Source organism: Homo sapiens, chromosome 15 (assembly GCF_000001405.40).
Source record: "Homo sapiens chromosome 15, GRCh38.p14 Primary Assembly".
Lineage (NCBI taxonomy): Eukaryota > Metazoa > Chordata > Mammalia > Primates > Hominidae > Homo > Homo sapiens.
The window spans coordinates 22,163,204-22,180,066 of record NC_000015.10 but is presented as its reverse complement, the minus strand read 5'-3'; the positions used below and the strand labels follow the sequence as shown (position 1 = coordinate 22,180,066).

The 16,863-nt window shown below is 41.1% G+C and overlaps 1 pseudogene across 1 annotated transcript, besides 1 other annotated feature; it reads left to right on the top strand.

Moving 5' to 3' along the window:
- The first annotated feature begins 1,470 nt into the window (after positions 1-1,470).
- Positions 1,471-2,212, top strand: LOC642131 (immunoglobulin IGHV1OR15-3-like pseudogene; annotated as a pseudogene). The gene is made up of 2 exons (NR_135667.1): positions 1,471-1,570; positions 1,656-2,212. The product of NR_135667.1 is annotated as an immunoglobulin IGHV1OR15-3-like pseudogene (transcript).
- Positions 12,244-12,744: an enhancer, noted in NCBI's record as "H3K4me1 hESC enhancer chr15:22455274-22455774 (GRCh37/hg19 assembly coordinates)". NCBI's record gives its function as "activates a minimal SCP1, AML or CMV promoter by ChIP-STARR-seq in primed H9 embryonic stem cells {active_cell/tissue: H9 hESC(primed)}" and the evidence as "EXISTENCE:reporter gene assay evidence [ECO:0000049][PMID:30033119]".

The window sequence follows — 16,863 nt, the reverse complement described above, 5'->3', positions numbered from 1 at the left end:
GGCTGGGCTGTGGGTCTGCTGTGACCCTCTCCACAGGTCAGCAGTTCAGTGCAGGCTGCACCAACTCGGTGGGGCTGGGCTGTGGCTGACCCTCCTGGGGGAGCCTGGACTCTTCTTAGGGGTATCTGCAGGATCCCAGGTTCTGGGAGAACAGGGAAGCCACAGTGTGTGCAGGGCCCCATCTCCAGTAAAGTGTTTGCTGTTGTTCTGCTTGACAAGGGCATATCCCCAGGCCTAGAGGCACTATGGGCACACAGCCAATGCGCTAGACACAGGGAGTAAGACACAGTTCCCTCTCATTACTGTGAGGACTCTAGACACAGTGTGTGTGTGTGTGTGTGTGTGTGTGTGTGTGTGTGTGTGTCCATTACTGTGGGGACTCTAACCACCCGTGTGTGTGTGTGTGTGTGTGTGTGTGTGTGTGTGTATTAGGAGTTTCGCAGTGGGCTCTGAGACCCATGATTTTGTAGGTTTAGAAATTATCTGATGAGATGTTCATCCAAAGGAACCGACAAGAGATTAGGTGTTCTCCCAAAGCCCCTGGGAGCTCCTGGACTCATTGTGAGTGTGGACTGATCCAGTGCTTCCGGAGCTCCAGAGAAGGGGCTCCCTGGTGGTTTCATAGAATCCTTGTTTGGGGTGTTTCTGCAGAGTTCACTGGCTTTCCTACAACCAATTTACTATTGCAAGCGATGGTGTCAGCAGGACATGGTGTCACGTGTCACTAAAGAAGCATTCTGAGCCAGGACACAGCCACTTCATACAGGGAGGAAAATGCTCTGGGAGCCCAGACAGGAGCCTCTCTGCAGTGCAAGGGCTGGGCTGCAGGGGGCGCTCAAGGCCCACCCAGCACAGGCCCCAGCCCCAGAGCAGGTGCACAGGAGGCTGGGGAGGGATTCCTCTCAAGATCTGTGTCATTCTTCTAAAAAAATCTAAAATAAGTATTTGACAAAGACTGCTGAAGATTCCATAAATATCCTATTCAATTGCAAGAATTTATCAATTTACACTGGAGATTTCTAACCCTGCTACATACCTTAATAGTAAGCATCTGGAGATCAATTAAGCTTTTATTTTATATAAATAAGTGCAACTTTTGGAGAAACACACTCATCCCCCAAATAACACATTCATGTATTAAAGCCTAGAAATGCTTTAAATTACCTCTGAGCTATTCAAGTGTGGGTTCCCAGTGAAGTCCTGTTCTAGGGAAAATTGTTCTCCAGTGTTCTCCACTGTTCTGGAGAAAATTGTTCTCCAGAAGCTCTGTCAACATACAGCTTAGGGATGTGGCAGGGCACACATGGCCTCTAAGGGGATTATAGCTTGAACCCTTAGCATCCTCCTGTTGGGTAATCCATGTGTCATCTCTCCATTCTTTCTCATGCTGTGTTAGGTATGAAATAGCATCGCTCATGAATATGCAAATAACTGATATGACTATAGATATCTTTGTGCCCTGAGAGCATCACCCAACAACCACATCCCTCCTCAGAAGAAGCCCCCAGAGCACAGCTCCTCACCATGGACTGGACCTGGAGGATCCTCTTTTTGGTGGCAGCAGCCACAGGTAAGGGGCTGCCAAATCCCAGTGAGGAGGAAGGGATTGAGGCCAGTCAAGGGGGCTTCCATCCACTCCTGTGTCTTCTCTACAGGTGCCCACTCCCAGGTCCAACTGGTGTAGTCTGGAGCTGAGGTGAAGAAGCCTGGGGCCTCAGTGAAGGTCTCCTGCAAGGCTTCTGGATACACCTTCACCGACTACTTTATGAACTGGATGCGCCAGGCCCCTGGACAAAGGCTTGAGTGGATGGGATGGATCAACGCTGGCAATGGTAACACAAAATATTCACAGAAGCTCCAGGGCAGAGTCACCATTACCAGGGACACATCTTCGAGCACAGCCTACATGCAGCTGAGCAGCCTGAGATCTGAGGACACGGCCGTGTATTACTGTGCGAGAGACACAGAGTGAAAACCCACATCCTGAGAGTGTCAGAAACCCCAGGGAGGAAGCAGCTGTACTGGCATGGAGGAAATGACAAAGATTATTAGATTGAAGACTTTCTCAGAAAATGACATTAAGTCATTAAGGAAAAGAAACAATATAAATGTGTACTTGAGAAATTTTAATTACTTGAGAGATTTTTCATACAATATTTATTCTGCAAGCAAATTTCAGGGATTGAATTAATAAAACTGATACAGAACTTCCTCTGTAGGTATCTGTGTAAACATCAATTTCTGAATCAGTGTTGTAAATATTTTGGAACACATACACAAATCACATTTTATCTCTATTTTTAAAAATGCCAAAAAAACTCATTTGTGCATGTAGCATTTTGAATTCCCACCATCAATGCATGATAGTTCTTGGTTTTCCACATTCATATTGCCATTTACAATTATGAGAATTATGTGTTTTAACCATTCTAATAGGTGAGTAATGGTATCTAATTTTTAGTTAAATGCACATTTCCTTAATAAAAATTTACATTTAACAATTTTCATATAGTTTTTGCTGAGATGCCTCTTCTCATATTTGGTTCATTTTTAACTGTATTGTTTTCTTTTGATTAGTTGTAAGTTTACTTGCATATTGATTATAAAAGTCATTTAACAAATTAAAAGAATTCATTTAACAAATATGTGACTTGGAAGTATTTTCTCCAAGTCTGTGGCTGTCTTTTACTCCCTTATCAGTGTGTATTGCAGAAAAGTGTGTGTGTGTGTGTTTATACAAATTTAGATTTAAAAAATAAAATTTTATTCATCTACAGATCATGTCTTTGGTATTATATCTGAAATCTCATTATAAAATATACTAATATGATTACTTTTTCCGTGTCTCTAGTCTCAGGCTACAATCAACTCATGAGTGTTTAAGCTTCACCTACTTGATTGGAGGACTATCAACCTAACATAGTTGGAATACTTCTGTAAAAAGATGTGTTCTTCTTCCTATTATTTCTTTATTTGATCACTTATTAATATGTGTATTGGTTTATGGATGTCTATTTCATACTCTGAAGAAGATCCATGCTACATTATTCATTTTATTTTTCAAACCACCACAGCTTTATTATGTGCTGGGAGCTCATTTAGTTTGGATCCTGCATCCTTACAGCTCACCTCATGCTTTTGTTTTTGAACACTTCCCTGTTTCCTGCTATTATAATAAATTCTAAACTCATTTTCTATATTATCTTTTTCGTACATAGAATCAGCCATTTTTCTAAAGACTGCTTGTTTCTGATGTTAAAGAATAGTATTTAAAAAATTGTAATACTGGGTATGTGCATTGTTAACGTGGTATAAGTACTTGTAGGACCTCTCAACTGACTGGCCTAGTAAACTATGTATCTAACCTTCTGTAATTTGATTACATTAAAAGTGAGAACACACTGGTCTCTCTACCCAATTATGCTACCACATGGACCTTTCTAGCCTTCCTTCCTTGACTGTCTATAACCACTCACTGCAAAGTGAGGAACCCCATCCAACCATATGCCATTTGATTACTTAGCTGCACAATTTCAGGACACATGCATAGCAGTATCAGAAATGTAAAGCTGTAACCTTGTTGGAAACATGTTTATCTACTAGAATAGAGTGCTTATATTCAGTTTCTTTACACTTATTATAGAGTTTCCTCATTTTCAAAGTTCCTTAGGTCAGCAACTTCATTTTCCAGTTTCTTCAGTGAAGTCATTTCAATGACACTGTATAATTTGATTTATTTGAAATTCTATAAAAGCCAAAACTGTAGTCAAGTAAACATATAGAGGATATTCCAGGAGCTTAGAGACTGGGTATAAAATAAGTTAAAAAGACACTGTTTAAGAAGATTAAAATTATTTATAGTGATATGCAATGGTTCAGATATGACACAATTAATTTGTCTAAGCACATAATTTTATGATGGAAAATATAAACCTAAATATACACAATTAAAAAAAAGTACTTAGCAGTTCATTAACCCAAGGATCAAATGCAGATTGTATAAAATTATCTCATTACTTATTTTGTGAGGGTGGAGATTTCATGAGATGTATGCAACAAAGAATGAGGTAATTTTCCTGATTTGCATATAAGATGTTGCCATTCACTAAAGACCTTTAATTTTTTAATTTTTTTTAAAATCAATTTTCTACGTGACCCAGGTTTTTTCCTCTTGACAAGCAAATAACCCACAGGATTATTTTCTTTCCTTGGTTGAGAAATATTTCCCCAAACTTCAGCTCAGTTCAGGCATACACTGTCCCTGAATGGGCATTTACCCTCAGATGGGGACACACACCTGTCAACATGTGGACTCTTCTGTCAGATAAATGCACCGTTACTCATGTGGATTCTTTCCTCAGACAAACACACATGTCCCCACGTGGACTCTTTCCTCAGACTACCACATATGTTCTGACATTTACTCTTTCCTCAGAAAACAGACATTTCCTCATGTGGACTCTTGTCTCAGACAAGCAAACATGTCTCCATGTGAACTCAATTCAGATAAGTACACATATGTCCACATTGACTGTTTCCTTACACAAACACATATATCCAATGTCGAATTGTTCTGTGGCAAAATGATCTCAAGATAATGATAATTATAAACCCCCTCCCTGACAAGGCGTAGATATGTATTTTTTTCATTGTAACCTAACTTTGCCTTATTGTCAAGAACAGTAGTTTGCAGCTCTAAATGTACCAATTAGAGACAGGTGTCCATTTTCTCTGGAAACATATTTTTATTTTCTTACTGGACATATTTGTTGATAATGTTTGCTATTATGAAAATACCTGAACAGCGTCCACACTAGAGAATAAAAAAGAGTAATGGGCAGATTAACTCTGTGCATCCAGACCCAGAAATCCTTTGACCTTGACTTCCCTGAAATGTAGACACAGAGGATGGATGAGCAATGCTGAGCGGTGCACCCATGACCACAAAAAGAAAGACATGGAAATGTGTCCCCTCCCCTTCTCAAGAAAGGCAGCTTATCCCCTGTTCCCTCAGGCCCTGGCGAGGAGCCACCCCATGTCTGTGCCCTTCCTCAGTGTCCACACCATGGGGTCTGCACTGATCTGGATTCCCTTCTCATCCCCGTCAACATTAGTGGCCTTTGTAAAACAGGTCCAGCTGTGGCTGCTCCTCATGGGGATTTTCTCAGTCTGTTTTCTGTGTTCATGGAAGTCCTGTGTGAAGTTTACTGATGGAGTCAGAGGGGGAAAAATTTTACAGCCCAGCGGTTGAGATTCTCCTGCAAAGCCTCTGGTTTCACCTTTACTGGCTACAGCATGAGCTTGGTCCAGCACGCTTCACAACAGGGATAGGTGTGGATGCCAACAGTGAGCAATCAAGTATGAATTCTCAGGGTTACTCTCCATGAATACAAATAAATTAACAATCTCAAGCAACACCCTTTCAAGTGCAGTCTGCCTTACAATGACCAATCTGAAAGCCAAGGACAAGGCCATGTATTACTGTGAGTGACACAGTGAGGGAAACCCTGTGTGAGCCCAGACACAAAGCTCACTGCAGGGAGACAGGAGGGGACTATGCGGTAGATGCTGCTCAGAACCACCAGGGGGCACTCAGAACCATCAGGGAGGGTGCACAGAACCACCAGGAGGGGCTCAGGACACCAGGGGGTGCTCAGCACCACCAGGGGGCACTCAGGACCATCAGGTAGGGTGCACAGAACTGCCAGGAGGAGCTCAGGACACCAGGGGGTGCTCAGAACCACCAGGGGGCACTCAGAACAATTGGGGGTGCTATGAACCACCAGGGGGCGCTCAGAACCACTAGCTGGTGCTGAGGACACCAGGGGGCGCTCAGGACCACAAAGGGGCCCTCAGGACACCAGAGGGTGCTCAGAACCACCAGGAGGCGCTCAGGACACCAGGGGGCGCTCAGAACACTAGGAGGTGCTATGAATCACTAGGGGGCGCTCAGGACACAAGGGAGCACTCAGAACCACCAGGGATAGCTCAGGACACCAGGGGGCACTCGGAACCGCCAGGGGGTGCTCAGGACACCAGGAGGCACTCAGAACCACCAGGGGGTGCTCAGGACACCAGGGGGCGCTCAGAACCACCAGGGGGTGCTCAGGACACCAGGAGGCACTCAGAACCACCAGGGGGCCCTAAGGAACCTAGGAGCTGCTCAGAACCACTAAGGGGTGTTGACACCAGGGGGCAGGCAGAATCACCAGGGGGAGCCCAGGACACCAGCAGGCGCTCAGGAAACACCAGGAGGTGCTCAGGACACCAGGGGGCGCTCAGAACTGCCAGGGAGCGCTCAGAAGAAGCAGGGGGTGCTCAGAACACCAGAGGGTGCTCAGAAGCACCAGGGGGCGCTCAGGACACCAGGGGGCGCTCATGAGACTGTGGTGGGGGGGTGCTGAGAACCACAGGATGTGACCAAGACACCAAGGGGTACTCAGAACTGCCAGGGGGTGCTCAGGACACCAGAGGATTCTCAGAACCACCAGGGAGTGCTCAGGACACCAGGGGATGCTAAGGAAACCAGCGGGTGCTCAGAACGACCAGAGGACACTCAGAAAACCAGGGGAAGCTCAGGAACCACCAGGGGGCGCTCATGACACCAGCGGGCGGTCAGAACCACCAGGGCATGCTCAGAACCACCAGGGGGCGCTCAGGACACCAGGGGATGCTCAGGACACTAGGGGGCGCTCAGGAACCACCAGGGGTCACCCAGGAAACCAGAGGGTGCCCAGGAAACCAGGGGAGGTTCAGGAACCACTAGGGGGCACTGAGGACACCAAGGGGTGCTCAGAACCACCAGGGGGCGCTCAGGAACCACAAGGGGACACTCAGGACACTAGTAGGCACTGAGGAACCACCAGGGGGCGCTCAGGACACCAGGGGACGCTCAGAACCTCCAGGGGTCGCTCAGATCCACCAGAGGGCGCTCAGAACCACCAGCAGGTGTTCAGGACAGCAAGGATGGCTCAGGACACGAGGGGACACTCAGGACCTCCAAGGGGCTCTTTGGAGGCAGCTCCATATCAGGTACCTGGGGAGGGTGAGGTTTCCTTTTCCACCTTGGTGATTCCTGACCTGGTCAAGCAAAAGTCTTCCCCAGGATCTCTTACCATGTCTTCCTTGTAACTCATGGTTTCTTTCACCTATAAAACATTAACTTAGAACAGGGGTTCAATTCAACTTTAAACTCTGCCTATTTTCAGAGTTATACTAGCAATGATATATCTCAGTATAATTTTTTTTAATTGTGTATATTCAATCCAAAGTCTGGCTCTATGCACAATTTTTTTGTTTTCTGTGCTGTCAGACACACTATTGTAAATGCTTTTCTAACAACTCAGCATATGCGTGGGGTCCAGTTTCTTTTCCTTTCATTGGCTGTTTGTGCAGATGAAACACCGCTTTAAGGGCTCATGTCCTCCACTTTGGCCCCTGGTGTTTTGCTTCTCAAACTTTCTCCATCTTCTCTTTTTCTGTCAAAATATTTTATCTTCCTCACTCTCCATGCAGGAAACAGGAAGTCCTTTTACTTTCTGTCCCCCATGTCTGGTAAATCAGTTCACTTCTTTTCATGATCACTGAAGCCAACCAAGTTTAGGAGAGTAACAGTTCTCCTTAGAATATGCTCTACCTGCAGACTCTCTGCCCTCATCACACTTTTCTAGGGTCCTGCAGACATAACCCCCACCCATTCCTCTTTTTCCCTCAGTACCACAGATTGGGCTCTGCAACTCATGCTACCCTCTGTGTGCTCAGCCCAGGGGCTCACTAGTGCTTTCATGAAGTCCAAATCCCTAATGTGTTTGCACACTCTCAGACCACCCTCCAGCAAGCTGCCATTGTGATTGAATCCTGCAAAGCATGGGCTGCTTTCAGTTTCCTATCACTGGATGTTCTTTATTATAAAGGCATATTGGCAAATAAAGACTAGAGTTTGTATTGAAAATTAACACCAAAAAGTTTTTTAAAAAATTTTTCAAATAGAAAAGTTATATCTTGCCTAGTTTAAAAAAATACAATGTTACTTTAATCAATGATTTAATAAAAATTTAAGTGATGTTTGTCTTATTATTCAATTTATTAATAACTGACTGATATTTAAAAAGTAAATACTGGCTGGGTACAGTGGCTCATGCCTGTAATCTCAGCAATTTGGGAGGGTAAGGTGGGTGGATCACCTGATATCGGGAATTCGAGACCAGCCTGACCAACATGGAGAAACCCACTCTCTACTAAAAATACAAAATTAGCTGGGCATGGTGGGGAAGCTGAGGCAGGAGAATCGCTTGAACCCGGGAGGTGGAGGTTGCGGTGAGCCGAGAACACGCCATTGCACTCCAGCCTGGGCGACAAGAGCAAAACACTGTCTCAAAAAAAAAAGTAAATACCACTGTACACTTAAGTAATATATTTGGCAAGAATGGCATTTACATTCATTCAAAAATGAAACTGCAAATACAAGTTACATTCAGTTAAATAATTAAAATAATATAGAAAAAATGGGTGTGTTGTTTTGGTGTTTAATATACATTCATTTTTGCATGGACGCATATATGTGTCATTGCTTGGCTGTTGTGTGTGTGTGTGTGTGTGTGTCTGTGTGTGTACGACTATGAAGTTTAAAATATATTATTAAATTACATAGTTGTATTAATCCAAATTTATCATGTTAAAATATTAGGAAAAAGTCACCAGTAGAGAAATTACAGAGAACATTAGCAATGCCTACAGCATTTACAAGAGTCACGTTAATAAGAAACAAACTAGTTCAAATTTTTAGATATGACACACGCAGTGGAAAATGTTCACATGGTATTAACACAAAAGTGGTGCACAATTGAGGAAATTATAATACATTCATGATATTGGCTAAATAAATGCTTATGAGTAATGCTTTTCATCCATCAAATGCTTATGATAATGCTTTTCATCCATCGTATTATAGATGATAAAATAACTCTATAAACACTTCCATCACTAGTGTTTAATATGAGATGCCTCACATCTTTTTCTGAAATAAATAAACATCTGTCCACTACTTTGATGATCATTTCAGTATTATCCTCTAAAATAATTATCCATAATAATGTTAGTAACAATATTATTTTCAGAAGCCTATTTTATAAGTTCTTTGAACTATTATTTTTATGATTGTTACTTTATATTTTACACACTTTTTATTTGGAATAATTATAGATTATCAGAACAATTGTAAGGAAAATACAGTGTGTTCACATCCATCTCCGAGTTTTCACTAAAGTTAGTATGTTAAAAAAATGGGACATGGGACTAATATATTTACATTGATAATTTTCTGTTTATTCAGCTCTGGGATTTATTTGAATTTTGCCAATTTTTAACAGTTTCCTTTTTTCCTTTTTCTTTTCTTTTTGAGATAAAGTCTCACTTTCCTATTGCTTTTTGTTTGTTTCTTTGTTCAACTCAGGTAACCACATCAAATTCAATCACCATGTCCCTCTAATATCTTCTGGTTAATCACAGTTTGGGTTCCTGCTGTCTTCCCATTGAATATTCTATAAATGAAACTAGTGAAATAAGTTGATTCTGGTCACTTATGTATTTACCTATTTTATCACGTTTGTTTTGTCAATCACAATAAGTGTCGAAGTCTCTATCTGTTATAGATGTTAGCCTATTTTCTATTGCAGATCCATTGGTTAAATCTTTGGTGATGCCTTTTAGAAAACTGATCCCTTTACCCTATGTAATATGCCCCTTGATTCCTGAAAGTCTTATGTCTACCTTGTCTGAATTTAACATAGCTAAGCACGCTTTCTTTTCGTTCATATTTTCATGGTCCATGTTTTCCTGTATTTAACTTTCCTATGTAGAGCAAATTTCTATACAGAGCTAATAGTTGGGTCTTGCTTTTTAAAACAACTATAATAAATTCTGTTTTAAAACTGGTATTACTATTTTTCTGTTAATTTCTGTTTTAATTTAGCATTTTATGATCATGTTTATTCTCTATTAACTTATCGTTTAGTTCATCCTTTATGAATATTATATTGGCCATAAGATATACAATACGAATTGTATATAATCAGATTCTAATTCAAATAATGTAAAACCTCTTCATAGGTTGTAGAGCTATTATAACTGTATTCTTCTAAACCCTGTTTCTCATCCGTTGTCTTAGTTTATTCTCAGTTTGCACTTATATGTGCTATAAAATATAATATGTGCATTTTTATCGTTACTTTACATAGACATATATTAGAACAATTAAAAATATAAAAACTACATTTCAACTTCATTTTTTCATTCTTGACCACCTGTTTTATTTGGATAGATTCATGTTTCAGATGTATATCATATGGCTACTCACCCTGGCAGAAAATTTGCCAAAGCACCTACTGAAGGATGAATGCACTGGCAATAAATTTTCTCAGAATCGAATTGTCTTACAGGGTATTCATTTGACTTTCTCTTTAAATGAAATTTTTAATACATATAGAATTCAAGTTTGACTTTTATTTGTAATTTATTTTCTTGTACTCATGTATTCATTATTTTCTTCCTGAAGATGGTCACACATTCCATTCTGCTGGGCCTTCATTATAGACATTTGTGTGTATCTATTCAGGGCTATATTTGCAATTTATGGATGCCACAATTATCAGAGTTGAAGTCAGCTTCTGCTGTCCACAGAGATTTCAAGTTCCTCCCATGATACTTGCTTTTGTGTCCCTGTTTGATCCTGGGTCTTTATATTTAGTTTTCCCCAGGGAGTCTGTCTCTTTCAGCTGTGGAAAGTGCACCCTACTGACAGTTTAAATTGCTGACTGTGTGGTGAAGGAGCTTGGACAAAGCGGGACGTCCTCCAACCTTCTGACTGAGTCTTCTTCTTATGCAGGAGTAGTAAGCATAGTTCTGGGGAGTGGCCTTGCAGATTGTCCTGTCCTTAACTCTTTCCCCAGGGCTGGAATGTATTTTCCCATACAGAATTGTTTTTCACCAGTGTCCCCAGCTTTTTACCCACTATCCTTACCCTAAAGAGTAAGGATTTCTTTCCTGAGGAAGGAGATGGGAGGTGTTTCTGGATCAAGTTTCCTTGGTGTCCTCTGTTTCCTTTTGTTTCTGTTGACTTCACCACAGCTCACATGACACATGCTTTGGTGGATTTCCCCTGGAGGTAGTGGAGGTGCATCCAGGCATTCCACAGGAGCTGCTGTTCTTTTCCCCAGTCAACACCACAAGACACCAGATGAGGAAGTTGTCCGTGGATTTTTCAAGTTCTCTAGGAAAAGCTTGCAAGCACTAGGCCACTCTAACACCATTAGTACATGCATACTAAAAAAAAGTCATTAAGTATTTCTAGGTTAGTCTGTTTCTATCTCAAATGCCATCCAGTGGCACCTGCCCTATGTACACTAGCAGGTAGGTCCTGGTTCTCTTTGCAGGCTCCTATCTTGTCAGATTTCAGTTTTCTTGTTTGCTCGGTGAAATCGACTCAGATATGTTGAATGCTTTTTCTCTCTTTTATTTGTAGCTGTTCAGCTTTGTTGTTAATGAGGTCAGAATAAAATCACAGTTTTCTCATTTTTTTCACATTCCCACACTGAATAGCTGCTTTCTGTATAAAAGCCAGAAACTGAGAGAACACATTGAATATCCATTACAGGTGAATGTTAAACAATTTGAGATATGTTTGTGTACTGGAATAAAATGCTGCATTACAATCAAGTCATCACTCATTCACATAAAACTTGGCCATATTCTCAAATAATGTACGGACCTGAGTGCCCCTCCATCTACTGGCCTCTCCTGGGGCCCTAGCCTGGCCATACCTGCTTGCAGGGCAGTCTCGGGCACCCTGGGATCCTGCACCAAAATTTCTGCCCTGGCAGACCATGCCTGACTGGTGGAGAGCTCCAATCGGGCAGCTCTCATGTGCACACACCAGCTTACACACTTCCTCCGAATACTGTAGGTTCCCCCAGGCCCACGTAACTCCCCACATCACTTTGCAGGCACATGTCTGTATAGGTGGGTTTTGCTTTTCTTGTCCCACCATTGCGTGGAGTGCAGTCCCCTCCCCCCACCCCAACCACCACGGCAGAGGTAGCTTTGGTGGGGAAAAAGCCAGGCCCGCTCCTGTCAGCGTCCCGCACTTGCACTAATTCTGCACAGAGAATAGCAGATCATCTCACACATTCAGAAATTGCTCCTGCTTGTGGGGCATGAATACGGCACCCGGACCTGTGCCCACAAGTGTCCCACCCCTGAGCCAACACCACCTCCAGCGTGACTTTGAACACAGTCACCAGCAGGGCCCCACACACCCACAGATGCAGTGCCTCTGCCACTGTGGTGAACACCTGCAGGGAGGCAGGCCCCCAGACACCCACTAGCACTCTGTCACAGCTGCCACACCTCCAGCCCCCCAAGGACAGTGGATTCCTAACCTTAAGGAGCCAGAGAACCAAGTCAGGGACTTGTATAAGTTCCCCCAGAGTTAGAGCACACAGTCCAGGTGTTGGGAGCTGAGCACTGACCACCTAAATTTTTCCAGAAATGAAGCCAGTTGGCTGAATCCACCTTATACCACAATCAAACCCTCAAGATCATCCAATAGGATAAAAGAAAATAAAAATGTATCCAAAAGTCAGCAACCTCAAAGACTGAAGGTGGATATGCCCACAAAGATGAGAAAGAACCAGTGCAAAAGTCATGAGAACAAAAAGGGCGCCCTCATTCCTCCAAACAACCGCAGCACCTCTTCAACAGGGGTTCTGAATGGGGCTGAGATGGCTGAAATGACAGAAACAGAACTCAGAATATGGAGAGTGAAAATGTAGATGAATACAGCTATTTATGGAGAATACTATAAATGTTCCTCAAAAAATAAAGAAACAAAATCTACTGTAGAATCCAGCAGTCTCACTACTGGCTATGTATCCAAAGGAAATGAAATCAACATGTCAAAGAGATATCTGCACTCCATGTTCATGTTCATTGCAGCATCTTTTAAAATAGTAAAGATATGGAAACATCCTAAATTCCCATGAATGGATGAATGAATAAAGAAAATGCATACAGACACAACAGAGTAATGTTCTTCCTTAAATAAGAAGGAAACCCTGCCTCTGTGACAGCATGCCTGAATCTAGAGGACCTTATGCTAAGTGAAACAAGCCAGGAACGGAGGAAGAGTAATTCAAGATTTCACTGTAGTATATTAAAGCAGTAGACTTGCAGAGATAGAGTAGAATGTTGGTTACCAGGGGCTGGAGGGGTGGACTGGGAAAGGGAGATGTGGGTTAAAGTGCACAATGTTCCAGTTAGACAGGAGGTATAAGTTATGCTTTTCTAATGCACAGCATGTCAACTATAGCTGATCAGGTGGTATATATTTCAAAATTACTAAAAAAAAACATTAAAATTTCCCCACTAAGAAATGATAAATTTGTGAGGTGATGAATATAAGTGGCTTGAGTCACCCAGTTCATAATGTATACATGTATCATAACTAAACAACATATGTCATAAATATATGCAAAAATTATTTGTAATTTCTAATAAAATAAGTTTCATATTTAAATAATTACATTAAGAAAATGAACAGAACCTTTCCGATTTCAAGAATATTATATATATAATATATCTTAAAACAAACTTGCAACAGAATATAGAAATAAGTTTTACGACTCAATAGAAAAGAATAGAATTCAATAAAAACTGGCTAAAAGAAACAACAGCTGTATCATTATAGAAAATTCTGGAATAATCAGCCATATAAAGATTCTCACTCTCTTAGAACTAGAATTCTGTAGGACCTGCAATTCCTCCTGAACTGGGTGGGAGGCACAAGGAAGAACAGCTAATGGTGATTCAGTGAATTTTATATCTGTGTGTACTTCTGTGCTCACTCAGCAGAAAGAAAAGAAGAAAAGAAAGAAAGAGAGAAAGAAAGAAACAGAAGAAAGAAAAAGAAAGAAAGAAAGAAAGAGAGAGAGAGAGGGAGGGAGGGAGGGAGGGAGGGAAGGGACAGCAGAAGTCATTGTGGTGTGTGTGAAAGCACAATCCTTGGACTCCCCCACATCCTTCTGTACTCCAGTCCCATCAATGTCCAGCAAATACATTTTCTAACATGAAGTATTTTAAACTTTCTAAATCCTGCTAGAAACCCCCTCAGCTCTTTCAATTTTGCTCTATCACTTGAATTATTGAATTAAATCTAGTTTTTGTGGGCCTATCAATACCATAAGCCAAAATAACACATGAAGAAATTGCACTGAGACACAAGAAAACCTTCTGAAAGCTCCATAATTTCAGATCTGCATTCTTATTTCCCCAAACCTAAATCACTAAATAGAGACTCAGAACAAGTTGATCTTGTTCCCGAACGTGCACAGAGCCAAGGACATCCTGTCTGTCTGCAACAGCTCAGGTTTGTTCCTGTTTCTCCTAGAGGATATAAAATCTTGATTTAGGGAAAAACAGCTAGGGACACCCTGGGCTTTGTTCTTCTCTTCCCTGGAGGCAGGATGTCCTTCAGAGCTTTGTCCCAGTGGGTAACACAGCTGCTGAGGTGTACAACCCAGGTGGCCTTGTTTTGGTCACTTTTGCATGGTGAGCCTGCTTTGCACCATGGCCTACAATATGCGTGTGTAACTAATCTGTCTCCATCTTCAAAATGACATTATTCCACATCAAATCTAGTGCAGGTGCCTTACACAGAACATTCTCAATTACCTCCATCATTCATAAAATTGATGCCATTAATTTCAAGTATACATACATCAGACTCATTTAACGTATTGTTATTCTCATTGTTTGAAACATAACTTTTAGATCAAATAAATTAACAATAATAAAAATATAAATTTTGAAGTCAGGTAATGTGATTTCTCTAGTTGTGTTCTCTTTGCTCAGAATGGCTTGGGCTATTCTGCATCTTTTGTTTTTCCACATATATTTTAGGATTTTTTTTAATTTCTGTGAAGAATATCATTGTTGTTTTCATAGGGATTGTATTGAGTCTGTAGATTGCTTTAAGTATAATGGACATTTTAACAATATTGACTCTTTGAATTCATAAACATGGAATATTGTTCCATCTTGTGTCCTCTTTAATTTCTTTCATCAATGTTTTATAGATTTATTGTAGTTTTTTTTACTTTGTTCATTACACATTGTATGCCTGTACCAAAACATCACATATACCCAACAAATAGAAATATATATACTATTATGTGCTTATAACAATTAAAAATTATGTATGTATATTGAATCTATTCAAAATCAGAAACTATTTCTTTTTACTATTTGTAAGGTCTTGTCTCTAGGCTATAAAAAGAATTTGTAAAACTCAACAGAAAGCATAATATAAACAGAATTCTAAAATGACTGAAAATCTGAACAAACACCTCACCAAGAAAAAATGTTATCTGAAAATAAGAATATAGACAATTGTTCAGTATCGATTGTCATAAACCGATATTCATAATTACCAAACACAAAAGTAAACATGATGTATTTCAACAGAATTGATTCTCAAATATTTGTATACTCACACAGTGGAATACTATTCAGTCATAAAAACTTATGGGTTATTAATTCAGAAAACAACATTTTAACATTTTTTCTAAGTGAAGGAAGATGGACAAAAGAGACTAAGTATTGTACAATTCCATTCATGAGACCTGCTAAATACAGTAAAATTAAAAGGATTTAAAAAACAGGTTTGTGATAGGCAGGGCTTTTGGGGAAAGACAAGAGACTGACTTGGCAAAGCTCAGGGGATAGTTTTAGGGTAAAACAAACGTGTGCCATTGTGATATGCCTAATTAATTATTATATTTGTTCAGAGTTAATAGTGTACGTTTCAACCAACTTGGTGATTTTATATTTTCTATTTGCTGATAGAGACATGTTCATTTTTGTCAATCACTTTGCTAAATGTGGCTGAGAGGCTGTTGACATGAACGCTGAGTAAATGTATTCACCAAGTCTACAAGAGCAAATTATTTGCCAATTGCTGATTGAGTGGGGTCAATAATGTATATGAGATTGGGCGTGGGGATGTTATTGTGTGAGATCATGATGTTTAGACCACGACACTCTCTGGTGAGGGATCACTCATTCATTGCACATTTAATGAAAGGCAGGTAGGAGGAGCAGAAGGGCATGAGTCACTCTCCTGACCACAGCCACAGGTTATTGAAGGCAGAACTGATGTAATCCCCTCAGGTAGACCAGCGCCCCTCAAAGGTGACTTTATCCTAGAGTTGACACACATCCTGGGACACCAAAGACAACTCCTTCTCTCCCCTTTCTCTGCACTTCAGCTGGAAAAAACTTTCTCACCGAGCACCTTGTGTTAGGGAATGAGAGTTCCTGTCCCAGGTGTGAGGGCCCAGGTGCATCCACTTGATTCAGCACGAGAGCAAGAACAGCCTTCCAGAAAATGACATCACCTGAGGTATAACCAGCTTTCACCTGCTGCAGCTTCCTCTGAATAAAAAGGAAACTGTTGAAACTTCCTCAAAAGTGTCCTGCTGTGCCATTCCCTTTGTCCCTACGTGTTCAGTTGTGTCTGTCCAGATGCCACTTTTATGTAGGGAGATTAGGGTTCTGCTTCCAGTACCAGAACACACATGACCTCTTAGGAGACTTCAGGGTTTTGATCACATATATGATGATCTTAAAAGTCATTAGCTCCATTTCTACATCAAAAAACATCTGAACCAGAGGGGCACAGAGGCTCATGCCTGTAATCACAGCACTTTGGGAAGTCAAGGCAGAGGAATCACTTGAGGTCAGGAATTTGAGACCAGCCTGGTGAACATGGTGAAACCCCGTCTCTACTAAAAAATATATACAAAAATTAGC